The 27,435-nt window shown below is 45.4% G+C and overlaps 1 protein-coding gene and 1 pseudogene across 51 annotated transcripts in view, besides 5 other annotated features; one reads left to right on the forward strand and one right to left on the reverse strand.

Annotated features, from left to right (window-relative positions):
• Positions 2,845-3,014: an enhancer, noted in NCBI's record as "experimental_73968 CRE fragment used in MPRA reporter constructs". NCBI's record gives its function as "activates a minimal promoter by MPRAs in K562 erythroleukemia cells, with activity observed for both the introgressed and non-introgressed 4:128973931 variant alleles {active_cell/tissue: K562}" and the evidence as "EXISTENCE:reporter gene assay evidence [ECO:0000049][PMID:34662402]".
• Positions 10,831-11,689: an enhancer, noted in NCBI's record as "H3K27ac hESC enhancer chr4:128981832-128982690 (GRCh37/hg19 assembly coordinates)". NCBI's record gives its function as "activates a minimal SCP1, AML or CMV promoter by ChIP-STARR-seq in primed H9 embryonic stem cells {active_cell/tissue: H9 hESC(primed)}" and the evidence as "EXISTENCE:reporter gene assay evidence [ECO:0000049][PMID:30033119]".
• Positions 10,831-12,548: a biological region, named in NCBI's record as "H3K27ac hESC enhancers GRCh37_chr4:128981832-128982690 and GRCh37_chr4:128982691-128983549".
• Positions 10,873-12,372: a silencer, noted in NCBI's record as "silent region_15680". NCBI's record gives its function as "represses an Ori minimal core promoter by ATAC-STARR-seq in GM12878 lymphoblastoid cells {active_cell/tissue: GM12878}" and the evidence as "EXISTENCE:reporter gene assay evidence [ECO:0000049][PMID:35858748]".
• Positions 10,943-27,435, forward strand: part of LARP1B (La ribonucleoprotein 1B) — a 162,138-nt gene continuing 145,645 nt past the window's right edge. For 29 of the 51 annotated variants that reach the window (XR_938753.3, XR_938754.3, XR_007057935.1 and 26 more), the window contains exons 1-3: positions 11,466-12,373; positions 24,614-24,672; positions 25,088-25,147. Coding sequence is in view for 46 of the 51 variants with exons in the window: in XM_011532057.3 (XP_011530359.2) it covers positions 11,848-12,373; positions 24,614-24,672; positions 25,088-25,147 (645 nt within the window). In the remaining 5 variants the exon portion in view is untranslated. Of the gene's footprint in view, positions 11,380-11,465; positions 12,374-24,613; positions 24,673-25,087; positions 25,148-25,601; positions 25,663-27,435 lie in introns of those variants that run through there. The other 22 variants (NR_146772.2, XM_011532067.2, XM_047415871.1 and 19 more) reach the window with 4 other exon arrangements.
• Positions 11,690-12,548: an enhancer, noted in NCBI's record as "H3K27ac hESC enhancer chr4:128982691-128983549 (GRCh37/hg19 assembly coordinates)". NCBI's record gives its function as "activates a minimal SCP1, AML or CMV promoter by ChIP-STARR-seq in naive H9 embryonic stem cells {active_cell/tissue: H9 hESC(naive)}" and the evidence as "EXISTENCE:reporter gene assay evidence [ECO:0000049][PMID:30033119]".
• On the reverse strand, positions 18,853-19,802 carry RPL15P8 (ribosomal protein L15 pseudogene 8; annotated as a pseudogene).

Raw genomic sequence — 27,435 nt, forward strand, 5'->3', positions numbered from 1 at the left:
AAGGTATATTATGGTTACTCAATAGAGTATAAGTGATTACTCCTGACAATGTAAGGAAAAGGAAGAAATGTCCAGGATGTGGAGACCTCTCATACGCTGCCAGTGGGTGTGTGAATTGGTACAAGAGTTTGGAAAATGACTTGGCAATATTTGGAACAAATGAAGATATGCAGATCCTATGACTCAGAAATTCTATTCCTAAAATGATACCCTCAATAAATTGGCACATGCACACCAGAAAAAAAAATGTTCATAAAAGCCATGTTTACAGTAGTCCCAAATTGGAAGCCGAAAAATTCATCAACAATAGCATAAAAAATTGTGATATAGTCATTCAATGAAATACACATACTATAACAGAATAAATGACCTACAGCTACTCTCAACTTGTATGAATCTTAAAAACATAATATTGAATGAAAGAAGCAAGACGGAAAGTAGCATATGATTCCATCTACATATAGTTTTAAAAATAGGCAAAACTATGGGATGCATGTTTAGTGACAAACCATAAAGAAAAGCAAGAAATTTGAGGAGGCCAAGGCAGGAGTATAGCTTGAGCCCAGGAGTCCAAGACAAGCCTGGGCAACGGACACCTCATCGCTACAAAAATTGAAACAAATAAAAAATTTGCCACGGCCGGGCACAGTGGCTCACGCCTGTAATCCCAGCACTTTGGGAGGCTGAGGCAGGTGGATCACGAGGTCAAGAGATCGAGACCACGCTGGCCAACATGGTGAAACCCCGTCTCTACTAAAAAAAAAATACAAAAATTAGCTGGGCATGGTGGCATGTGCCTGTAATCCCAGCTACTTAGGAGGCTGAGGCAGGAGAATTGCTTGAACCTGGGAGGTGGAGGTTGCAGTGAGCCGAGATTGCATCATTGCATTCCAGCCTGGTAACAAAGTGAGATTTCGTCTCAAAAAAAAAAAATTTGCCAGGCTTGGCAGCTCATGCCTCTGGTCCCAGCTACTTGAGTGGCTGAGGTGGGAGGATCTCTTGAACCTGGGAGGTCAAGGCTGCAGTGAGCCGTGATCGCAGCACTACACTATAGCCTGAACAAAAGAGTGAGATCTTGTCTCGAAAAAAAAAAAAAAAATGGTGTGTGTTGGTGGGGGACACATGGGAGTTCTAATAAGAGGGTTGAATGTAAAAATAAAGAAAAGCAGACAACCGTTGGAAGGTAGAACAAAGGGTAGGATGATATATTCTCATTTTATAGAGTGGCAATATAAGAAGCTCTTTCTAAAATTGGTGAAATACTAAGTAAATGTTCAAATTACTTAAATTATTTAAAATTTCCAAGTAAACAACAAAAATATCAGAAATTGGGAGGAGAATCGAGCAGGGGCTTATGTAAGTGTGTTAAATCCTCATGTTTTATAGTGGCAAGGCAAAAGTTGAAAGATGGTAACTTTGGGGATTAGTACCTTTGTGAAGTAGAACTGTTTTTTTATTTTCATTATAAACAATATTGTACCATTTGGTGTTACCATATGCATAAGCTAATTGCATTTTTTTTTTTTTGAGACGGAGTTTCGCTCTTGTTGCCCAGGTTGGAGTGCAATGGCGCCATCTGCGGCTCACTGCAACCTCTGCCTCCTGGGTTCAAGCGATTCTTCTGCCTCAGCCTCCTGAGCAGCTGGGATTACAGGCCACCACACCCAGCTAATTTTGTATTTTTAGTAGAGACGGGGTTTCTCCACGTTGGTCAGGGTGGTCTCGAACTCCCAACCTCAGGTGATCCGCCCACCTCGGCCTCCCAAAGTGCTGGGATTACAGGTGTGAGCCACCACGCCTGGCGGCTGATTGCATTTTAAAAACCACAAGCTATTTTGTAGTATTGTTGAACAACTTTAAGGGGAAAAAAAGGCAATATAGTGTATTGTTATGGTTAAGAGTATGAACTATGGAGAACTATGAAGCCAGATTGCTTGGGCTCAAATCCTTGCTCTGGCACTTTCTTTTTTTTTTTTTTTTTGAGATGGGAGTCTTTTTTTTTTTTTTTGAGATGGGAGTCTAGTTAGCTCTGTCGCCCAGGCTGGAGTGCAGTGGCATGATCTTGGCTCACTGCAGCCTCCACCTCCCAGGTTCAAGCAATTCTCCCGCCTCAGCCTCCCAAGTAGCTGTGACTACAGGCATGTACCACCACACCCGGCTAATTTTTGTATTTTTAGCAAAGATGGGGTTTCACCATGTTGGCCAGGCTGCTCTTGAACTCCTGGCCTCAGGTGATCCACTGGCCTTGGCCTCCCAAAGTGCTGGGATTACAGGCGTGAGCCACCACGCCCGGCCCTGGCACTTTCTAATTGTATGATTCTAGGCAAGCCATTTATCCATTTTGCCTCAGTTTCCTCATTTAAAAATGGGGGCAATAATAATCTGTATTTTATATAGTTGTTCTTAGGATTAAATGAATTAACACATGTAAAACACTTAGTGTCTAGCATATGTGTGTTAACTATTACCTACCACTAGGTAGTTAATTGTGAAAAATAAAGCTGAAAGGAAAAGATGAAGACTGAAAATTACCCAGTAGACTTATTAACATGTAAGTCATTTGATATTTTAGTGACACGGTTGAGTGATAGAGCCAGAAACTGGACTGAAGAGGGAGAAGTGAAGAAACAGATGCATACTCAATTTTCCATGAATCATTGATCATACTCCTTACATTTTTTTCTTAACTCCTTTGACTTTCCCAAAGATAACTACTATCTTTTTTTTTTTTTTTTTGAGATGGAGTCTCGTTCTGTCACCCAGGCTGGAGTGCAGTGGCACAATCTCGGCTCACTGCCACCCCGCCTCCCCGGTTCAAGCAATTATCTGCCTCAGCCTCCCGAGTAGCTGGGATTATAGGAACATGCCACCACGCCTGGCTAATTTTTGTATTTTTAGTAGAGACAGGGTTTCACCATCTTGGCCAGCCTGGTCTTGAACTCCTGACCTCGTGATCCACCCGCCTCGCCCTCCCAAAGTACTGGGATTACAGGCGTGAGCCACTGTGCCCGGCCTGATAACTGCTATCTTTACTTCTAACACAATAGATTAATTTTGCTCTTTTTGAACTTTAAGTAAATTTAACTCTATACAAATCACAGTGTATTTATGTGTGCCATCTTTTATGTTTACCAGCCTAACACTATGCCTTTGAGATGTATCCATATTGTTGCCTGTAGATGTAGTTAATTTTTCAAAGCTGTATATTATTTCATTATATACTGTATTAGTCAGGGTTCTTTAGAGGGACAGAACTAATAGGATATGAAAGGGAGTTTATTAAGGAGAATTGACTCACACTATCACAAGGTAAAATCCCAGGATAGGTGGTCTGCAAGTTGAGGAGCAAGGAAGTCAGTGGTAGATCAGTCCCCCAAAACCCCAAAAGTAGGGAAGCAGCCTTCTGTTTGTGGCCAAAGGCTCAAGAGCCCCTGGCAAACTACTGGTGTACATCCAAGAGTTCAAAAGCTGAAAAGCTTGTAGTCTGATGTTTGAGGGCAGGAAACATCCAGCATGGGAAAAAGATGAAGGTCGGAAGACTCAGCAAGTCTAGTCCTTCCACTTTCTTCTGCCTGCTTTATTCTAGCCATGCTGGCAGCTGATTAGATGGTGCCCACCCAGATTGAGGTTGAGTTTCCCTCTCCCAGTCCACCAACTCAAATGTTAATCTCTTTTGGCAACACCCTCACAGGCACACCCAGGAACAATTCTTGGATTGAAGGATTTTTATTCTTCAATCCAATCAAGTTGACACTCAATATTAACCATCACATATACCATGCCACTATTTATGTATTCTACTGCTGGTAGGCATTTAGGCTATTTCCAGTTTAGGGCTAGAAGAATGATAAAGAATGCTGGGGTTTTTCTGTTCATGTGTTTTGGTGCACTTGTGCACACATTACTGTTGGAGCAAAATGGCTGGGTCAGAGATATGCTCATATTCAACTATACTAAGTACTGCCAGTTTCCCACAATAGTTGTACTAATTTTGGTAGTGTCACACTGTTTTTTTTCTTTTTTTTTTTTTTTAATGTCATCTGGTAAGTTGTAGTGTTTGTTTCTTTGTTTCTTTTTTTATTTTTTTGAGATGGAGTCTTGCTCTGTCGTTCAGGCTGGAGTGCAGTGGCACAATCTCGGCTCACTGCAACTTCTGCCTCCTGGGTTCAAGCAATTCTCCTGCCTCAGCCTCCTGAGTAGCTGGGATTACAGGCATGAGCCACCACGCCCGGCTAATTTTTATATTTTTAGTAGAGACGGGGCTTCACCATGTTGGTCAGGCTGGTCTCAAACTCCTGACCTCCTTGATCTGCCCGCCTTGGCCTCCCAAAGTGTTGGGATTACAGGTGTGAGACATTGAGCCTGGCCAGGTTGTAGTGTTTTCTCTTTGTGATTTTAACTTACATTTCCCTGCTTTCTTTTTTTTTTTTTTTTCTGAGACAGCATCTTGCTCTTGCTCTGTGGCCCAGGCTGGAGTGCAGTGGTGTGATCTCGGCTCACTGCAACCTCTGCCTCCCAGGTTCAAGCGATTCTCCTGCCTCAGCCTCCTGAGTAGCTGGGATTACAGGCACATGCCACCATGCCTGGCTAATTTTTGCATTCTCAGTAGAGATGGGGTTTCACCACGTTGGCTGGGCTGGTCTCAAACTCTTTGACTTCGTCATCTGCCTGTCTTGGCCTCCCAAAGTGCTGGGATTACAGGTATGAGCCACCGTGCCCCGCCCCATTTCCCTGCTTTCTAATGAGGTTAAACATGATTTTGTTTCTTTTTTTTTTTCTTTTTTGAGACAGGGTTTCACTTTGTTGCCCAGGCTAGAGTGTAGTGGTATGATCGCAGCTCACTGCAGCCTCAATCTCCCAGACTCAAGTGATCCTCCCACCTCAGCCTCCCTAGTGGCTGAGACTGCAGGCATGCCACAATACCGGGTATCCATGAAAGTGTCAAATTCTGTAAAATATTTGAAGAGATTTATTCTGAGCCAAATATGAGTGACCATGGCCTGTGACACAACCCTCAGGAGGTCCTGAGAACATGTGCCCAAGATGGTAGGGGTGCAGCGTGATTTTATGCATTTTAGGGAGGCATGAGACATCAAGTACATTTAAGAAATACGTTGGTTTCACAGGAAAGGCAGGATAACTGAAATTGGAGTTGCGGGGGTGGGGCTTCCAGGCTATAGGTAAATTTAAACCTTTTCTGGTTGACAATTGGTTGAGTTTCTTTAAAGACCTGGGAAAGCAGCCAGGCATAGTGGCTCATGCCTGTAATACCAGTACTTTGGGAGGCGGGGACGGGCGGATCACCTGAGGTCAGGCGTTCGAGACTAGCCTGGCCAACATGGTAAAACCCCAACTCTACTAAAAATACAAAAATTAGCCGGGTGTGGTGGTGGGTGCCTGTAATCCTAGCATCTTGGGAGGCTGAGGCAGGAGGATCACTTGAACCCGGGAGGTGGAAGTTGTGGTGAGCCAGGACCGAGCCATTCAGCCTGGGCAACAAGAGGGAAACTCCGCCTCAAAAAAAAAAAAAAAAAAAAAAAGACCTGGGAAAGAAAGGCATTTTCCTTTCGAAAGAAAGAAAATGTTGAAGTTAAGATAAAAGATTACGGAGACCAAGATTATTTTTGAAGCCTTATAGTGGCTACGCTTAGAGACAATAGATGACAAATGTTTCCTATTCAGATCTTTAAAAGGTGCTACACTCTTAGTTAATCTCTTTAGGATTTGGAGGGCCTGGAAGAAAATACCTAGCTATGTTAATATAGATTCTTTACAGATGCAAATATCCCCCCCTACAAAGGACAGCTTTACAGGGCCATTTCAAAATATGGCAAAGGAAAGAAAAAAAAAATAGGCCGCTCGCAGTGGCTCAAGCCTGTAATTCCAGCACTTTGGGAAGCCCAGGCGGGCAGATCACCTGAGATCACTGAGATTGAAGCCAGCCTGGCCAACATGGTGAAACACCAACTCAACTAAAAATACAAAAAACTATCCAGGCGTGGTGTCGTGCACTTGTAATCCCAAGTACTCAGGAGGCTGAGGGAAAATAATCGCCTGAACTCGGGAGGCAGAGGTTGCATTGAGCTGAAATCGTGCCACTGCACTCCAGCCTGGGTGACAGGGTGAGACTCCATCTCAAAAATAAATAAATAAATAAATAAATAAATAAATAAATAAAATAAAACAAAATATGGCAAAGAAACATGTTTTGGGGTAAAATATTTTGACTTTCTTCTTTGTTATGCCAGAGTCACACTAGAAAGTAAGTCACAATATATAGGGTTAAATAAAACCCATCTGATGAGAATTTATGGTTTGTAGGGCATGACTCCCCAGACCCCTCAGATAGGAATTTGGGCAAGATGAAAAAAATGAGAGCTTAGTCCTCACTGGCCATATATATATATATATATATATATTTTTTTTTTTTGTAGAGACCGGGTTTCATCATGTTGCCCAGGCTAGTCTCAAACTCCTGGGTTCAGTCTCCTGGGCTCAATCAATCCACCAACATTGGCCTCCCAAAGTGCTGGGATTACAGGCTTGAGCTACTGTGCCCAGCCTATGATTTTCATATAAACATATGAAGCATTTTGATTCTCTCAGATTTTACACTCAGAATACACTATCTACAGTTAATTCTGAACTTTTTCTCCTACTTAATTATATTATAAGAATACTAAGAAGATGAGCTGAGATAGGGTCTTGCTATGTTGCCCAGTCTGGTCTCAAACTCCTAAGCTCAAGTGATTCTCCTGCCTCAGCCTCTCAAGTAGCTGGGACTACAGGCAGCTGCCACTGTGCCCAGCTTTAGGCAGAAATTTAGAACTTGATCTCTTTATTTCATTTCTCATATCCATTAGATTAGCAATTCCTGTTAATGAGATCATTCCCAAAATGTATCTCAAATCATTCCATTGTCCTATGCACTGCCACCTCTTAAGTCCAGACCATCATCATATCATTCTTGGAATACTACAACAACTTCATGTTTTTCACATTTTGCATTTTGTCACTGCCCATTCCACTTCATTTTCCGTATTACAGCAACAGGGGTATTAACTCTTACATCTTTTCAGTGTTTTTCCATTGCTCTGATAGAATTCAAATTCTGTCATAATCCAGAAGCCCCTGCAGGCTCTGCCTTAGGCTATCTCTCTAACCTCATCTTTACTCATGCTTTGTTTTTTTTTTTGTTTTGTTTTTTTGTTTGTTTGTTTTGAGACAGTCTTGCTTTTTCACCTAGGCTGGAGTGCAGTGGGGTGATCTTGGCTCACTGCAACCTCCGCCTCATGGGTTCAAGCAATTCTCCTGCCTCAGCATTCCCAGTAGCTGGGATTACAGGCACCACCACCACACCCGGCTAATTTTTGTATTTTTAGTAGAGACGGGGTTTCACCATGTTGGCCAGGCTGGTCTCAAACTCCTGACCTCAAGTGATCCGCCCGCCTTGGTCTCCCAAAGCACTGGGATTACAGGCTTGAGCCACCACGCCTGGCTGTTTTCTTTTTCTTTTTCTTTTTTTTTTTTTTTTTGAGACAGGGTCTCGCTTGAACCCGGGAGGCGGAGGTTGCAGTGAGCTGAGACGGCGTCACTGCACTACGGTCTGGGCGATGCAGCGAGACTGTCTCAAAAAAAAAAAAAATTAAATTAAATTAAAAAGTTAAATGGAACTGAATAGATCATGTAAGAATGTCTTCATAGCCCAGCGCAGTGGCTCACGCTGTAATCCCAGCACTTTGGGAGGCCGAGGCGGATGGATCACCTGAGGTCATGAGTTCGAAACCAGCCTGGCCAAAATGGTGAAACCCCCATCTCTACTAAAAATACAAAAATTAGCTGGGCGTGGTGGCGGGCGCCTGTAGTCCCAGGTACTCAGGAGGCTGAGGCAGGAGAATGGCGTGAACCCGGGAGGCGGAGCTTGAAGTGAGCTGAGTTCGGGCCACTGCACTCCAGCCTGGGTGACAGAGCAAGACAGAGGCGGTGGCTCTCACCTGTAATCCCAGCACCTTGGGAGGCTGAGGCTGGCAGGTCACCTGAGGTCAGGAGTTCAAGACCAGGCTGGTAAACATGGTGAAACCCCGTCTCTATTAAAAACACAAAAATTAGGGACAGGCGCGGTGGCTCACGCCTGTAATCCCAGCACTTTGGGAGGCTGAGGAGGGTGGATCACTTGAGGTGAGGAGTTCAAGACCAGCCTGGTCAATATGGTGAAACCCTGTCTCTACTAAAAATACAAAAAATTAGCTGGGCATGGTGGTGCATGCCTGTAGTCCCAGCTACTAGGGAGGCTGAGGCAGGAGAATTGCTTGAACCTGGGAGGTGGAGCTTGCAGTGAGCTAAGATCCTGCCACCGCACTCCAGCCTGGGCAACAGAGTGAGACTACATCTCAAAAAAAGAAAAATTAGTCAGGCATGGTGGCACATGCCAGGAGAATCGCTTGAACCCAGGAGGAAGAGGCTGTAGTGAGCCAAAATCGTACCACTGCACTCCAGCCTAGGCAACAGAGTGAGGCAACAGAAAGAGGCCTCTTTCAACAGGCCAGGCGCGGTGGCTCACGCCTGTAATTCCAGCACTTTGGGAGGCCAAGCGGGGGCAGATCACCTGAGCTCAGGAGGTCGACACCAGCCTGGGCAACAAGGTGAAACTCCGTCTCTACTGAAAATACAAAAACTTAGCTGGGCATGGCAGCGCATGCCTGTAGTCCCAGCTACTCGGGAGGCTGAGGCAGGAGAATCTCTTGAACCTGGGAGGCAGAGGTTGCAGTTAGCCGAAATCATGCCACTGCACTCTAGCCTGGACTCCAGCTCAAAAAAAAAAAAAAAAAAACCAACAAAGAAACAAAAAAAGAAAGATATTTATGGCTGGGTGTGTGGCTCACGCCTGTAATCCCAGCACTTTGGGAGGCCGAGGTGAGTGGATCACTTGAGGTCAGGAGTTTGAGAGCAGCCTGGCCAAGATGGTGAAAACCCCTTCTCTACTAAAAATTCAAAAATTAGCTGGGTGTGGTGGCAGGCACCTGTAATCGCAGCACGACACCACACCCAGCTAAATTTTTGTATTTTTAGTAGAGACGGGGTTTCACTGTGTTGGCCAGGCTAGTCTGGAACTCCTGACCTCGTGATCCGCCAGCCTTGGCCTCCCAAAGTGCTGGGATTACAGGCGTGAGCCACCTCGCCTGGCTGATGGCAGTGTTTTGAACCAAATAATTTGTTCTTCCAGACCAGGTGAACACCCTACCCAAGGGCAGATAATCCACAGATTGGCTAATGAATTGTATAATCTGGCTGGAAAAAATAAGTAGGGTCAAGCAGTCTTTTATCCTTAATTTTGAACTATGAAGCAGAGGAAGAGTCTGGCACGTAGCTGCAGAGGCAGAATGAAGTAACAAGATAGAGGTTAATTACAGCAAATTGGGTCAGTCAGATGAAACTAAAATCAGACGGAACGCTCAAATTTTGGAATTTTAAGTTTATTATTAAAAGGACACTTTACAGAGGTGTGAGGCTAGGCGTGGTGGCTCACGCCTGTAATCCCAGCACTTTGAGAGGCCAAGGTGGGGGGATGACTTGAGGCCAGGAGTTCGAGACCAGCCTGGCCAACATGGTGAAACACCGTCTCTACCAAAAATACAAAAATTAGCCGGGTGTGGTGGTGGGCGCCTGTAATCTCAGCTACTCGGGAGGCTGAGGCATGAGAATCGCTTGAACCCGGGAGGCAGAGGTTGCAGTGAGCCGCGATCGCGCCACTGCACTCTAGCTTGGGCGACAGAGAGAGACTACCTCTTAAAAAAAAAAAAATGCCGGGCGCGGTGGCTCATGCCTGTAATCCCAGCACTTTGGGAAGCCGAGGCGGGTGGATCATTTGAGGTCAGGAGTTCAAGACCAGCCTGGCCAACCTGATGAAACCCCGTCTCTACTAAAAATACAAAAATTAGCCGGGTGGTAGTGGCGCGCCTGTAATCCCAGCTACTCAGGAAGCTAAGGCAGGAGCATCTCTTGAGCCTGGGAGGCAGAGGTTGCAGTTAGCCGAGATCACGCCACTGTACTCCAGCCTGGGCAATAGAGTGAGACTCTGTCTCAAACCACCACCACCACCACCATCACCACCACCAATAAAAAATACAAAGCGCCACTAATAACAGAGCTAGTAAAGATGGATGGGAATATAGGTGGAAGTACAATCCCCTTTTAATTGCAACAAGGTTCGCCAGGTTGCTTAGGGTTGGGCAAACTGGAGATCACTGACACGGAAAACAAGAAAACCCTTATTGTTTATAGCTGTTATGTATGAATAGGTTATTAGCCTTAGGAAAATTATTTGTGCCGAATACGGCTTTTGAGTAAGCAAAAAATATTAACGTCAAGTTGAATGTAATTGAAGCGACTTATTGGGCGTGGGGTGGGGGGTGGGGGTTGAAAGCCCAAACATAAGGCGAGCACAGATAATTTATTTAACAAGGCTATGGGGTTGGTGGGGGGCTCGGAAAAAAATCAGCGGCGGAACCTGCTCTCAGCCACCTTGCACCAGGACACAAACACTGACTCAAAAATGAAACGAGTATCATCTCTAAGTGAATGTGAGTGCCAAGTAGAAAGCTCGTATCCGATTTATTATCAAAACGTCTTTGTACCATTTTAACATCCATTCCAGGAAGAAAAAACCTATTGGGAATATGGTTAATTTGTAATTAAGTGCTATTTACCCAAATTAAAGAAACAGGTAACAAAAAATTTTAAAAGCCGGCGAAATACTATTTAATTTACTCAGGAACGCTTTAGAACTCTTTTAGTTGGTGGGTGGGAATGCGGGCGGGGAAGCGCACTAAGCCGAACGCTGGGGCAAAGGTTTCCTAAACAGTTACCGAGAGGTAACTCCCCCTTCATCTGGGACGTGGCTCAAGATTACAGGTGATCGCGGTGCCCCGAGGCGCCAGGAGGCAACTTTCACCTGGGGGAGGCGCCGGGCGCCAGCGGGCCAAGCGGCCGGGCCGCGGAGCCCACTTCACTTGGGAGCTGCCCCAGGCCGGGGGTCGACACCGCGTCCCCTCCCTTAGCCTAGCTGCGACCCAGCTTTAGGGCCTAAGGGCAAATCGAGCGCTCGGTCCTCCCAGCGCCATGTGCGCGGCCCGCCCAGGCCCTTGGCCGCCGTCGCCGCGGGGGCAGGCCGCGAGCCAGCCGCGAGCCACAGAGGCCTGGTGCGCGCTCCGCCCCTGAGCCTGCAGTCGGGGCGGCCTCAGCCAGTGAGCCGGGAGTCGTCCCCTTCGTCCTCCCTCGCACTCGGAGGGCAGCTGGGGCGGGGCAGACCCTCGGGCCGGGCGGCACCCGGGCGGGCGAATCCGTCAGCTCCCGCGGGAGGCCCGGCGAGAGAAGGACCCGGTGAGTAGCCACGTCACGCTCCTCAGGGAGGCCCCGCCCCGTGCTCTCGGGCCGCCCCTCTTCGCCGTCTCCACGCCTCCGCGGGCAGTTACCAGCTTTGGCTGCTCGCGCCTCCCCAACTCGGGTAAAGCTCCTCGGCCTCGGCGTGCTGCGCCTCCGCGGCTGCCCTGCGCCAGGTGAGGGCTCGCGGCTCCCGGCTGCGGCTCCCGGCGCGTGGTGGCGGGCTCGGGGCGTGCGTCGCGGAGAGGACGGGGCCGGCGGGCGGTTGGCGCTCCGTTCGGTGCGGGGAGGGGCGTCACGCCGGGCGCTGCGCGGCCTCGGCGGGCGGCGGCAGCGGCGGCCACGGCCGCCGGGCTCTCGGGTTGTCTGTCCCCAGTTGGAGCCGGCCGGTGTCCCGGCGGAGAGACGGGCAGTCGGGTTCCCTGGCCTCGGGGCCACCCCGGCTGGGGCGGCTGGGGCAGAGGGACGATGTCTACTCGCGCCCCGATGCCCGCCGCCCATTCTCGGGAGGATCCGCCCGCGGTGACTGCTGAGAGGGAGTCGCTGTTGGCCGCGGCGAACCGGCCGGCCGAGCAGCCGCCCCCGCCCGAATGTGAGGGCAAAGAGGCGGCGAGGGAGGAGAGGGCCGCGGCCGCCACTAGCGCTGGGGCGCGGGGAGAGCCGTCGCCGGCGCTGGTGCTGGGACGCAGCGTGCCCCAGGCGGCTGTCCCCGTGAGGCCCCTGGCGCTGCACCTGGCGCACAAGGCGCGTGGGCCCGGGGGCCCTTTCGGCGGGGAGCCGCCACCGCCACCGCCGCCGCCGTCGCCGTTGCCGCCGTTGCTGCGGGATCCGCCGGCCGAGGACGCCCGGGAAGAGGTGGCAGCTGGCCCTGCGGAAAAGCGGCAGCCGCCGCTGCTGCCGCCTAAGGGAAATCCCTGGACCAAAAAGCCTCCCCAGCACCTGTCCCCAGACACGACAGGTCCGCCACCGCCCCCGCTGGAAACCCTGGAGGCAGGTCTGTGGTTGCTCTGCGTTGGGCACTGGCAGGGTGCGGGCAGGGGCGACTTGCGGGACTTGCCGGCGCGTGGCGGCGGTAGCGGGCACCAGGCCCGGGTAACGGCAGGCCTCCCCTCCCTGTCAGTCGGAGGTAATTTGTTCCAAGGTGTCATTCACTCTGCCTATTTACAGACATGGGCATCTGGGAAGGGAGCGGCAGGAAGAGGTGGGACCTCAGGTTCTCCTTGCCTGATGGGGGCACGGAGGTGGTAGCTTGGCGGCGCATCCCTGCTGGCGCGGTTGCGATTGTGTTTTGTCCCCAGTGTTAGTGACTTGGGAAAGTAGCTAACTTTAGATACTGCAGTGCTTCGTATGGGAAAGTTTTGGTAGACTTTTTTTTTTTTTTTTTTACATAAAAGGATTGAAGCAAGTCAGAGCAAGGGGATTTATTCGTAAGTGGAAGCGCGATTGTAGTCTTTTGTGAAATAAGATGAAAAAAGGTTTTCAAAACACTGCTGAGCAGTCATATTAAAAATGAGACTTTAAATGTGGTTTTTAAAGTGCTTTATGGGGGGAGGGGGGAGGGATAGCATTAGGAGATATACCTAATGTTAAATGACGAGTTGATGGGTGCAGCACACCAACATGGCTGCACATGTATACATGTGTAACCTGCACGTTGTGCACATGTACCCTAAAACTTTAAGTATAATTAAAAAAAATAAAGTGCTTTAAGTTATAAGTGTGCTGGAAAATAATTGAAATAGGATAGTTGACATGCGAGCGTGGATTGCACGTTAGGTAAATGGTTTTCTAACATTGTCAGCTCTCCTTCCCTTTAGAGGAGATAAGATTATGCCACTATATTTGAATGCTGACCAATGCTGTATGGCCGTCGGTGCTTTATTTTGATTGTAGTAACTGCAACTTAAGAAAGTAAAAATGGGCCGGCGCGGTGGCTCACGCCTGTAATCCCAGCACTTTGGGAGGCCGAGGCGGGCGGATCACCTGAGGTGAGGAGTTCGAGACCAGGCTGGCCAATATGGCGAAACCCCGTCTCTACTAGAAATACGATCATTAGCCAGGCGTGGTGGCGGGCGCCTGTAATCTCACCTACTTGAGAGGCTGAGGCAGGGAGAATCGCTTGAACCCGGGAGGTGGAGGTTGCAGTGAGCCGAGATCGCGCCACTGCACTCCAGCCTGGTCGGCAGAGTGAGACCCACTCTCAAAAAAAAAAAAAAAAAAAAAAAAAAAAAAGTTAAAATGGAAATAAAAACCATGACAAAAAGCAGTATCTGGCCGGGCGCGGTGGCTCACGCCTGTAATCCCAGCACTTTGGGAGGCCGAGGCAGGTGGATCACCTGAGGTCAGGAGTTCAAGACCATCCTGACTAACATGGAGAAACCTTGTCTGTACTATAAATACAAAATTAACCTGGCGTGGTGGCGCATGCCTGTAATCCCGGCTACTGGGGAGGCTGAGGCAGGAGAATCGCTTGAACCCGGGAGGCAGAGGTTGCAGTGAGCCGAGATCGCGCCACTGCACTCCAGCCTGGGCAACAGGAGCGAAACTCCGTCTCAAAAAAAAACACAAAAAAACAAAACCGTATCTTTCTAAATTAAGTTGTAAATGACTTGAACTTTTTATATGCAAATGACAGCTGTTTACTTGCAAGTCTTCATTTTTATTTAAAATTAAAGGTTAGCAGCAGAACAAGAAATATTTGAGCGTGTTTACTGGCTTGTGAGGATCAAATGCGATGAAGAGGTGGTATAAATGTAAGGCGATTGGCTGTGCGCGGTGGCACACGCCTGTAATCCCAGCACTTTGGGAGGCCGAGGCGGGTGGATCACCTGAGGTCAGGAGTTCGAGATCAGCCTGGCCAACATGGCGAAACCCCGTCTCTACTAAAAATACAAAAATTAGCCGGATATGGTGGTGCGTGCCTGTAATACCAGCTACTCAGGAGGTTGAGGCAGGAGAATCGCTTGAACCCGGGAGACGGAGGTTGCAGTGAGCCAAGACTGAGCCACTGTATTCCAGCCTGGGTGACAGAGCAAGACTCAGTCTCAAAAAAAAAAAAAAAAAAAGTACGGTGATTGTTACAAGCACCCATTATGTTATGTTAACATTTCTTCAGAGGAACTCTCCAAAGAGGGAGATATGTGTTGAGTTAATTCATTCATTTGCCTTTGCACAGAAATACTCCTCATTAATTGTTGATAAATTTTGACACTTGCAGAAAAAAAGTTTGCTCTGGATTTAATATTGGCATAATTCCTTCCTCGCTATAAAGAGCTGTTTGTTTACTCCTATTACTAACTAAAGAGAACATGGTTAAGTGAAGACCTCATAAAGTTTTTCTTTTTTTTCTTTTTTAAAGCCCAGTGGCAAGCACTCTAAAATTTAGCAAAGAAAGAAAACCCTAGTGAATCATCTTATTTGCTGTTTCACCTCTCTACTTCTAGACTTACAGACAATTAAGTGAATTACCAAGTAGGAACTCTTTGTTGATCATAAAACCAGTATCATAGATTTTAAAACTTCGAAGCCATACATGGTAGTGTGTGCCTGTAGTTTTAGCTCCCTGGGAGGCTGAGGCAGGAAAAATCAGTTTTGCCCAGGAGTTTGAGGCTGTAGTGTCCTGTCATAGTGCCTGTGAATAGCCACTGCATTCTAGCCTGGGCAATATAGCAAGACCACGTTTAAAATAATAATATTAATAATAATAATAATGATAATAGAACTTTAAAAACTGTCAAGGTAAGCCTTGGGAACTTTAATTGCAAATGACCTGTGAAAAATATTTAACAGTTAAGCTATTGGTGCCTTCATTCTCCAGTCTTCACTGGAGATTAAGAACACTGTGATACTAGTTGTATGGTATGGTTCATGGAAATTTCAGTTTTGCTGTTGTCTTGTGTAGGCAACTCTTTCTGTCTTTGGATGGAATCCATTCTGCACTGGCAGGAAGACCATCTTTCAGACCTGGCATAGTGTAGTAACCATGGTCTCTTCCCAACACTGACTCTGCACTGTTCTCCCACAATTAATTTCTTTCTTTCTTTCTTTCTTTCTTTCTTTCTTTCTTTCTTTCTTTCTTTCTTTCTTTCTTTCTCTCTCTCTCTCTCTTTCCTTTCTTTTCTTTTCTTTTCTTTTCTTTTCTTTTCTTTTCTTTTCTTTCTTTTTTCAAGAGATGGAGTCTCTCTGTGTTTCCCAGGCTGGTCTTGAACTGCTGGCCTCAGGCGATCCTCCTGCTTCCCAAAGTGCAGGGATTACAGACATAATCAGGCTTTCTATTTTCTTAAGCAAATTTACAACTTCAGGAGTAAAGAAACAGGACCACAGTCTATTTGCAGTTAAATAACTTAGGTAACTTAGATAAAAGAGATTGTGGTGTAGAAACATACTGTTTTGAGAGACTTGGGTTCTAGTGCAGGTATTGTTACTAACTGGCTAGTTGACTTCTGGCAAGATTTCTGGGCATTATAAATGAATAACATGGATAGACTCATTTCCTCTGGTTCATAATACCAGAGTGCCACTTATAACCTGGCTGCCTTGGCTTCCATTTATATATTTATTTAATATTATTTAATTCATTTAAATAAATACATTTTACATTAGTTTATTTAAATAGGTAGATAGATTGTCAGTCTTGCTCTATTGCAGTGGTGAGATCATAGCTCACTGCAGCCTTGACCTCCTGGACTCAAGCAATTCCCCTGCCTTGGCATCCCAAGTAGTTGGGATGACAGGCACGCATGTCATTCCATGGAATTAGCCATGCCCGGCTAGTTATTTTTAATTTTTTTTTGTAGAGACAGGGGCCCCCTTTGTTGTCCAGGCTGGTCTTGAGCTCTTGGGGTCAAGCTATCCTGCCTCAGCCCCCACAAAGTGCTGGGACTACAGGTGTAAGCCACCCTGCCTGGCGGCTTTCTATTGTCTATTTTCTTTCTTTCTTCTTTTTTTTTTTTTTTTTTTTTGTTATATTGAGACAGAGTCTCGCTCTGTCGCCCAGGCTGGAGTGCAGTGGTGCAATCTCTGCTCACTGCAAGCTCCGCCTCCCGGGTTCACACTGTTCTCCTGCCTCAACCTCCTGAGTAGCTGGGACTACAGGCGCCTGCCACCATGCCCGGCTGATTTTTTGTATTATTTTAGTAGAGACGGGATTTCACCATCTTAGCCAGGATGGTCTCGATCTGCTGACCTCGTGATCCGCCGGCCTCGGCCTCCCAAAGTGCTAGGATTACAAGCGTGAGCCACTGCGCCCGGCCTTTTTTTTTTTTTTTTTGAGATGGAGTTTCATTCTTGTTGCCCAGGCCGGAGTGCAATGGTGTGATCTCTGCTCACCGCAACCTCCACCTCCTGGGTTCCCCCGATTCTCCTGCCTCAGCCAGCCAAGTAGCTGGGATAACAGGCAAGCGGCACCATGCCTGGCTAATTTTTATATTTTTAGTACAGGCAGGGTTTCTCTATGTTGGTCAGGCTGGTCTCGACTTCCTGACCTCAGGTGATCCTCCCACCTCCACCTCCCAAAGTGCTGGGATACAGGTGTGAACCACCGTGCCTGGCCGGGCTTTCTATTTTCTTGCCATTTTTTTTTTTTTTTTTGAGACAGAGTCTTGCTCTGTCACCCAGGCAGGAGTGCAATGGCGCGATCTTGGCTCACTGCAACCCCCCACCTCCCAGGTTCGAGCAATTCTCCTGCCTCAGTCTCCTGAGTAGCTGGGACTACAGGCGCGCGCAACCATGGTTGCCCGGCTAATTATTTTTTTTTAATTTTTACTAGAGATGGGGTTTTACCACGTTGGCCAGGCTGGTCTCGAGCTCCTGACCTCAGTTGATGCGCCCGCTTCGGCCTCCCAAAGTGCTGGGATTACAGGGGTGAGCCACCATGGTTGACCTCAGGCTATTTTCTTAAGCAAATTTGCAACTTAAGAAGTAAAGAAATAGGACCAGAAGTTGTTTAAAGTTCACAGTGGGTACCTCTAAATCTATTAGTTATCTATTAGTGATTGTATAATTTATACTATATAAATTGTATAATTCTACAAAACAGGATGCTCTTTGAGAGAGAGAATTGTATTGAAATAACAGACTTAAATCAGGTCTATCCTGCTCAAACTTGGATTTACTGTTACTCTGTTAATGAGGTAAAGGAATTCCATCCACAGAATTTTGCCAGGAAGTTTATTACTACAGTTAGAAACATAGGAAACACAGGGGAGAATATTTCAGGACAGAAATTATGAATTTTCTCTACATTACAACCTGCACATCTAAGTGAACCAGATTCTTGATGCCTCGGCCCTTGTGAGAAATTTTCTTCCACTTTTAGGATGATTTTGATCATGTGTTGCTGTTTCTAGAAATCCAGATGAGGCACTCTTCAGCCAAAGTTGCTGCCCACCCAAGAGGCCTTTTATCTTGAAATTTAGTCATGAGACCAGAAGGAACTTCTCCCATCTGTGTCCTGACTTGGTATTAGTTTTATTTTGGATACCTCCTTTTTTTTTTTTTCTTTTTTTGAGATGGCGCCTTGCTCTCGTCGCTCAAGCTGGAGTGCAATGGAGCAATCTCATTGCAACCTCCATCTCCCGTGTTCAAGCGATTCTTCTGCTTCAGCCTTCCGAGTAGCTAGGATTACAGGCGCTCGCCACCATGCCTGCATAATTTTTGTTTTTGTTTTTGTTTTGAGATGGAGTCTCGCTTTGCCACCCAGGCTGGACTGCAGTGGCACAATCTCGGCTCACTGCAAGCTCCGCCTCCCGGGTTCACGCCATTCTCCTGCCTCAGCCTCCCGAGTAGCTGGGACTACAGGCGCCCGCCACCTTGCCCGGCTAATTTTTTGCATTTTTAGTAGAGACGGGGTTTCACCACGTTAGCCAGGATGGTCTCGATCTCCTGACCTCGTGATCCACCCGCCTCGGCCTCCCAAAGTGCTGGGATTATAGGCGTGAGCCACTGCGCCCGGCCAATAATTTTTGTATATTTAGTAGAGATGGGGTGTCACCATGTTGGCCAGGCTGATCTTGAATTCTGGACCTCAGATGATTGACCCACCTTGGCCTCCCAAAGTGATGGGATTGCAGACATGAGCCACCACACCCGGCTTTTTTTTTTTTTTAAGAGACCGAGTCTCACTTTGTCACCCAGGCTAGCGTAGGAGTACAGTGACACAATCATAGCTCACTGCAGCCTAGAACTCCTGGGCCCAAGGGATCCTCCTGCCTCAGCTTCTCAAGTAGCTAGGACTACAGGCATGTGCCACCATGCCTGGCAAATTATTTTATTTTTGTTTTTTAAATTTAAAAATAGAGACAGTATCTTGCCATGTTGCCTAGGCTGGTCTCAGAACTCTTGAACTCAAGCTATTTTTATTTTTTTTTTGAGACAGGGTCTCACTATATTGCCCAGGCCCAGTCTTGAATTCTTGGCGGCCTCAAAGGATTCCCTGCCTCAGCCTCCCAAAGTGCTGCTATTACAGGTGTGAGCCTGGCCTGGCAGATTCCTTTTTTTCCCTCTTTTAAATAATTTATTTTAAACCTATTATATCACACAGTATGTTTTATACACTGACATATAACCCCCTAACAAGATAAAGCAAAGACAAAAAAGTTTATCTTATTAGAAGGAAGATACACCATCACTTATTCTCTTCAAGCATTATTGCACTTTAACTTTTCTTAACTTGACAAAGCATTCATGAAGCAGTCTGCAGACTAGTTTTAACAGATAAATAATACCTGTAAGCAGACATGATTGTCCTAAATTGTTTATTAGGTATGAATTTTACAAACTTTACTTATATTGGCTGTAACGGTGGAGCTGGAGAGTATTGCGCCTTCTCCAAGCTCCCTGGTGAGAACCACCAATAGTGTGGTGGCACTTAAGGCCCTTTCCAAGGCTATGGCTCTTTCGGCCTGCAGATGGCAGCCCATGCATCTTCCTATGCTTGTGGACTGGTTTGGTGATCCATTGGGTGTCAGGATTTCTTCTGATAGCTTTATGGAATGGATCAATGAGGATAACCTCAAAAAACTTGTATGTGGAATCTTCACCAACCCAGTGAGAATTCAGGACTTTTAGAGCCCCACAGTGGCATCCAGCTTGCCGCTTTGCAATGGACTGAAGACTTTGAGCAAACTTTAGCTGGTTAACACCATGATGGACAGGCTTGCCATAAGTTGCACCCTTAGGAACTGGGTGCTTTCGGCCACCATGGCGAACACGAATCCTATATATAACATAAACTTGGTTGGCCTTGTAGCCCAGCTGGTGCGCTTTATCAAGCCAGATGGGGTGGGGAGCCCTGTGGAGAGCAGAGAGCTGGTGGTACTGCCAGCAACCAACTCTCAGAAGAAAGTGCATTTTCTCCATAGCTCCTGGATTTACTTGTATGCCCCCATCTTGGCTTACCTGATGGCTGCTGCTAGACAGAAGGGGCACGGATTCTTTTATTAAAATCACAATATGGGTTTATTAATCCCTTACTTGTATTTATGGTTGTTTTTTGCCTATTAAACATCAGCATTCTAGTATAATTTCCATTCTTTTACTCATAACAATATGATGTTTAAAAAATACTGATTTTTTTCTGTCTTTTTTATTCTTATTTTTCTCGAACCCTATGTTCATCATCAACCTCTTTTCTCCTACTATTTGGTTCATCAACCTTATTTTCTCCTGTTTGGTTCCTAGAAACCTCAAGTAAGCTTACTGTTGTTACCCTAATGAAATACCATTTTAAGTAAGTTATATAGAAAAAATGCATAAATATATTCTCCTTACAAAAATGAAAAACTTTGATGTCATCTTAAGATAATTTACTGAGGCCGAGCGCAGTGGCTCACACCCGTAATCCCAGCACTTTGGGAGGCTGAGGTGGGCGGATCATGAGGTCGGGAAATCGAGACCATCCTGTCTAACACGGTGAAACCCTGTCTCTACTAAAAATACAAAAAAAATTAGCTGGGCGTGGTGGCAGGCACCTGTAGTCCCAGCTACTTGGGAGGCTGAGGCAGCAGAATGGGGTGAAGCCGGGAGGCGGAGCTTGCAGTGAGCAGAGATTGCACCACTGCACTCCAGCCTGGGTGACAGAGTGAGACTCCGTCTCAAAAAAAAAAAGAAGATAATTTACTAAATCTAAACTCCTTTTAAAAATTGCTGAGGACTGCCCGGGCACGGTGGCTCATGCCTGCAATCCGAGCACTTTGGGAGGCTGAAGTAGGCAGATCACCTGAGGTCAGGAGTTCGAGACCAGCCTGGCCAACATGGTGAAACCCTCTCTCTACTAAAAATACAAAAATCAGCTGAGTGTGGTGGCTGGCACCTGTAATCCCAGCTACTTGGGAGGCTGAGGTGGGAGAATTGCTTGAACCCGGGAGGCGGAGGTTGCACTGAGCCAAGATGGTGCCATTGCATTTCAGCCTGGGCAACGAGTGAAATTCCGTCTCAAAAAGAAAAAAGGCTTAGGATGACCGGCTGTAGTGGCTCATACCTGTAATCCTAACACTCTGGGAGACCAAGGTGACCGGGGTTTGAGGACAGGAATTTGAGATCAGCCTGGGCAACATAGTGAAACCCTATCTCAATTAAAAAAAAAAATAGCTAAGGAGTGGTCCTAAATATGGCTGACATAGTTGATTTAGAGATTTACCTGTTGATTATCTTGATTTTTTTCATTTTTGTATCTAGAAGAAACTGAACATTTTTATACATATGTCTTATATCCATGTGTGCCTTTCTCTAGGGTAGATGCTGAGAAGTAGAATTGTTAGGTTATAGGGCATTTTTTAAGTTTATGAGTCACTTTTTATTTATTTATTTTTTAATGTTTTTATTTTTATTTTTTATTTTTTGAGACAGAGTCTCGCTCTGTCGCCCAGGCTGGAGTGCAGTGGCGTGATCTTGGCTCACTGCAAGCTCCACCTCCTGGGTTCATGCCATTCTCCTGCCTTAGCCTCCTGAGTAGCTGGGACTACAGGCGCCCGCCACCACACCCAGCTAATTTTTTGTATTTTTAATGGAGACGGAGTTTCACTGTGTTAGCCAGGATGGTCTCGATCTCCTGACCTCGTGATCCGCCACCTCGGCCTCCCAAAGTGCTGGGATTACAGGCGTGAGCCACCGCACTGGCCTTTACAAGTTGCTTTTTAAAGTAACTGTATAAACTGATACTCCCACTATTAGAGTTTGAGAATTGTCTTCTTTCACAATTTTTTTTTTTTTTTTTTTTGAGACAGTCTCACTCTGTCGCCAAGGCTGGAGGGCAGTGGCACTGTGTCGGCTCACTGCAACCTCCGTCTCCTGGGTTCAAGCAATTCTTCTGCCTCAGCCTCCCGAGTAGCTGGGATTACAGGCGTCTACCACCACGCCCAGTTAGTTTTTATATTTTTAGTAGAGATGGGGTTTCACCATGTTGGCCAGGCTGGTCTTGAACTCCTGACCTCAGGTGATCCACCTGCCTCAGCCTCCCAAAGTGCTGGGATTACAGGCATGAGCCACCGCGCCTGGCCATTCTTTCACATTTTAAAAAGCACTAATTTTTACCACATTTTCCCTTAAATATGATAAGATGTGAAATATTGATATCATCAGTGCATTTTCTTAATTAAAATTTTGCCAAAAGATTATGGTCATAAGAATTAAGCTGAGTGAAATAGGCTCTGCTGTGTTGTAGCTTTTGTTTAAAGTATCCTAGCCCTTAAAAATATATTATTTTCTTTAACTATTTACAGTTATTTCCTTGTAGGTCCCAGGGTTTAAGGATAACGTTTTATTATTTATTTATTTTTACTTTATTTATTTATTTGAGATGGAGTCTCGCTCTGTTCCTCAGGCTGGAGTGTGGTGGTGCGATCTCGGCTCACTGCAACCTCTACCTCCTGGGTTCAAGCGATTCTCGTGCCTCAGCCTCCAGAGTAGCTAGGATAACAGGCACCCGCTGCTATGCCTGGCTAATTTTTGTGTTTTTTAGTAGAGACGGGGTTTTGCCATGTTGGCCAGGCTGCTCTCAAACTCCTGACCTCAGGTAATCTGCCTGCGTTGGCCTCCCAAAGTGGTGGGATTATAGGCGTGAGCCACTGTGCCCGGCCTAAGAGTAACATTTTAAAGATAGTGAAATAATGCTCAAAAAAGATGTACTGGTATATAGTGTCTGTCTTACTAATGATGTTTGAAAAATGGAGATATGTTTTAAATTTTTAAATTTAAAACAATTTCCTCAACTGGCTTGCTATTTCAGTCTTAGGTGTTCTCTAATGACATGCAGCATGATTTCCTCCATGTTAAAACATGAGAAAATGAAAAATTTCCTTTCTTAGGCTTCTTTTACTTGTAATCTGTACGTATATATAATTTTTTTTTTTTTAATCAGAGTCTCACTCTGTTGCCCAGGCTGGAGTGCAGTGGTGCAGTCTCGGCTCACTGCAACTTTCACCTCCTGGATTCAAGTGATTCTCCTGCCTCAGCCTCCTAAGTAGCTGGGATTACAGGCATGCGCCACCACACCTGGTTAATTTTTGTTTTTTTAGTAGAGATGGGGTTTCGTCATTTTGGCCAGGCTGGTCTTGAACTCCTGGCCTCAAGAGATCTGCCTGCCTTGGCCTCCCAAAGCTGTTTGGATTACAGGTGTGAGCCACTGAGCCTGGCCTGTATATATAAAATTATATTTAAAACCTGGTGGACTTCTTTCCATGTCAATACATATACAGCTTTGTCTGATTTCTAAAAGTTATATAGTATTCTGTGTATTATTACGTAGAGACTGTTTAAATAGGATTATCAACAAAGTTGCACTGAACATCCTATATGGACATCTTTGTACCTTTTCTTGATTCCTAGATAATTTCCTGAAAATGGAATTCTTTTATTAAAAGTTATATACATTTTAGATGACAGATTACCCTTGAAAGATATACTACCTTGGCTGGGCGCCGTGGCTCATGCCTGTAATCCTGGCACTTTGGGAGGCCGAGGTGGGCGGATTACTTGAGGTCAGGAGTTTGAGACCAGCCTGGCTAAAATGGTGAAACCCTGTCTCTCCTAAAAATACAAAAAAATTAGCCAGGCATGGTGGCAGGCGCCTGTAATCCCAGCTGCTTGGGAGGCTGAGGCAGGAGAATGGCTTGAACCCCGGAGGGGGAGGTTGCAGTGAGCCAAGATTGCGCCACTGCACTCCAGCCTGGGCGACAGAGTGAGAAGATTCCGTCTCAAAAAAAAAAAAAAAAAAAAAAAAAAAAAGAAAGAAAGAAAGAAATACTACCTCATACTCTTACCAACAGCAAACAGCATGAGAGAAATAAAGAGACTCTGTCTCAAAAAAAAAAAAGTTGTATTTGTAATTTTCTCCTGTTATATTGTTGTCGTTTTTTTTTTTTTTTTTTTTTTTTTTTTTTTTTTTTTGGACAGAGTCTAGCTCTGTCGCCCCAGCTGGAGTGCAGTGGTGCAATCTAGGCTCACTGCAACCTCCACCTCCCAGGTTCAAGCGATTCTCCTGCCTCAGCCTTCTGAGTAGCTGGGACTATGGGCATGTGCTACCACACTGGGCTAATTTTTCTATTTTTAGTAGAGATGGGGTTTCACCATGTTGGCCAGGCTGGTCTCAAACTCCTGACTCCAGTGATCCGCCCATCTTGGCCTCCCGAAGTGCTGGGATTACAGGTGTGAGCCACCAGGCCCAGCCTATATTCTGTTAATGAGAGGATTGTTCTGTCAGTTCAGTGTAATACGCTGTGTTTTTTTTTGTTTTTTGTGGTGGAGTTTTGCTCTTGTTGCCCAGGCTGGAGTGGAATGGCAAGATCTCAGCTTACCGCATCCTCTGCCTCCCAGGTTCAAGCGATTCTCCTGCCTCAGCCTCCTGAGTATCTGGGATTACAGGCATGTGCCACTGTGCCCGGCTGATTTTGTATTTTTAGTAGAGACGGGGTTTCTCCATGTTGGTCAGGCCGGTCTCGAACTCCTGACCTCAGGTGATCCACCCACCTCGGCCTCCCAAAGTGCTGGGATTACAGGCGTGAGCCACCCCGCCCGGCAACACTGTTAATATTTCTTACTTCTTGATTTGGAGACTGAAGATCACCTTGAATCTATGTGTCAAATGGGGTTGATTTTTTGCTAGGAATTTAAGTCTCAGAACCTTGGATTTTGGTTGGAAATGATGATTATACTGATTTACTGAAATTGACATAATAGTTATTTTGTTGAATTTATTGAATGAAGTAGTTGTAAAAACAATTCTATATATTTTCTTTAGAATTCGGTTCCCTCAAAATTATAAAGGCAGGAAAGCTCAAGACAAAGAAATCCAACAAGGTATGTCTTCATAGGAAATAGTTCTTAACTGTATTGATTTTTGAAAATTGAGGCTAAGAACTCTTAGGTTATTATAAGTGTATTTTTCTTCTAATTGTATTATTGGTATTAGATTAAAGTTAATATTATGGAAAATCATAACCTTTATCCAAATCTCTATATATGCCTTTGTTATCATGTATAACTCAATTTAATGTTATTAAATAGTGGTGAAAGTTTTATCATAAGATTAAGCCATTCTTATTTCAAAATGTTCTATTGTTTGCAGAAACTTTTTGATTAATTTGGCAGATGCCTGCATATAACTGAATATAAATGATTATTTAAAACTCCTTTCACTTTTAGAAAATGTTTTTTTCCTGCTTAAAATTTCTAAAAGTAATTTCAGACCTAACACTTATTTGTTACTTCTTAGGCTAGTGATTTCAGTGATATGGAGAATTGGCCAACACCAAGTGAATTAGTGAACACTGGAGTGAGTATTGTTTTAAAGTTTTTTTTTTTAAAGAAAGGAAAATGTATTCATTTCGACATGCAGAATTTTATTTTACTTAAAATGTAAAGAATTGTCATACTGGGGGACAGATTTTTTTTATTTTTTTGAGACAGGGTCTTGCTCTGTCTCCAGGCTGGAGTGCAGTGGTGTGATCACAGCTCATTGTAGCCTCAAACTGCTAGGCTCAGGTGATCTTCCTACCTCGACCTCCAGAGTAGCTGGGACTACAGGCACGCACCACTGTGCACAGCTAATTTTTGTATTTTTCATAGAGACAGGATTTTGCTGGTCTCCAACTCCTGAGCTCAAGTGATCCTCCTGCCTCAGCCTCCCAAAATGTTGAGATTACAGTATGAGCTACCATTCTGGCTGAGGAACAGATTTAAAAACTTGATTCATCAAGAAGATTACATTTTGTTACTTTAATTTGCAGTTATTCTTCGATGCTGCCAGTAACATTGGTAATGAACTTGTTGTCTTAAGCTTTACTCATGGGAAGCTTAACCTAACCTATTATTTCTTTCTTTCTTTTCTTTTTTTTTTTTTCCTTTGAGATAGGGTCTCACTCCATTACCCAGGCTGGAGTGCAGTGATGTGATCACAGCTCACTGCAGCCTTGGCCTTCCAGGCTCAGGTGATCCTCCACCTTTGCCTCCCAAGTGACTGGGACTACAGGTGTGTGCCACCACACTGGGAGATTTTTAAACTTTTTGTAGAGATGGGGGTTTGGTCATGTTGCCCAGGCTGGTATCAAACTCCTGAGCTCAAGCAATTGGCTCGCCTCAGCCTCCCAAAGTGCTGGGATTATAGGCGTTAGCCACCATACCTCGCCTATTATTTCTTTAATAATGAAGACATATTATAAATTGTAATCAAATTTTTATATTTGTATAAAATCACATACATTGATAAAGAGGTGCTGAAAACGTGGCAGCTATCCTTTTGATAGTTTACCCGCTTTTCAGATAACCTAATTTAATTCATCACATTTCCCTCATCTGGTTATATTCTTTTTTTGAGACAGAGTCTTGGTCTGTCGCCCAGGCTGGAGTACAGTGGTGGGATTTCAGCTCACTGCAACCTCCGCCTCCCGGGTTTAAGTGATTCTCCTGCCTCAGCCTCCTGAGTAGCTGGTATTACAGGCACGCACCACCACATCTGGCTAATTTTTGTATTTTTAGTAGAGACAGGGTTTCGCCATGTTGGTCTCGAACTCCTGACCTCAGGTGATCCACCCACCTTGGCCTCCCAAAGTGCTGGGATTACAGGCGTGAGCCACTGCGCCCAGCCTCATCTCGTTGTATTCTTAAGAGGTAATCTTATATTTGAGATTTGCATTTTCTAGAATTTTATATATGTGGAAGCATTGAGTAGGTACTCTTTTTTTTCCTGGCTTGTACTCAGCATTATTTTGAGATTTACTTGTGTGTCAGCAGTTCATTCTTTTTTCTTACTGAGTAGTATGGATGTAACACAGTTTGTCCATTCACCTATTGTTAATGGACATTTGGATTAATTTTACGTTTTGGTTGATACAAATAAAACTGCTATATGAACGTTTGTGTAGAAAATTTTTCATTTTTTCTTGGATATGTAACTAGGTTGGATCACTTAGTAGCTACCTGTTTTAGCTTTTTAAGAAACTGCTGAGTTTGCACTTCTATCAGCAGTGTACATGAATTCCAGTTACTCCACATCTTCACTCACTCTCTTTTTTGTGTGTGTGTGTGAGACCGGGTCTCACTTTGTCACCCAGGCTGGAGTACAGTGGCATGATCTCAGCTCATTGCAGTCTTGACCTCCTGGGCTCAAGTGACCCCCCCACCTCAGCCCCATAAGTAGCTGCGACTATAGGCATGCACCACCACGCCTGGCTAATTTTTTTGTATTTTTTGTAGAGATGGGGTTTCGTCATGTGCCCAGGCTGGTCTCAAACTCCTGAGCTCAAGTGATCTACCTGCCTTGGCTTCCCAAAGTGCTAGGATTACAGGTGTGAGCCACCGAACCCATCTTTACTCACCGATAATATGGTCAAGTTTCAAAAAATATTTTAGCCATTCTAATAAATGAGGAGTGGTATCCCATTGCAGTTTTAATTTGCATTTTTCTGATGAATGAATGCAATAATCTTTTCATAGATTTGCCATCAGTGTATCTTTTTGATGAAGTATGTGATCAATCTGCCCATTTAAAAAAATGGAAGGCTGGGTGCAATGGGTCATGCGTGTATCGCAGCACTTTGGGAGGCTGAGGACGGTGAATCATTT

The sequence above is a fragment of the Homo sapiens genome, chromosome 4 (assembly GCF_000001405.40).
Source record: "Homo sapiens chromosome 4, GRCh38.p14 Primary Assembly".
NCBI lineage: Eukaryota > Metazoa > Chordata > Mammalia > Primates > Hominidae > Homo > Homo sapiens.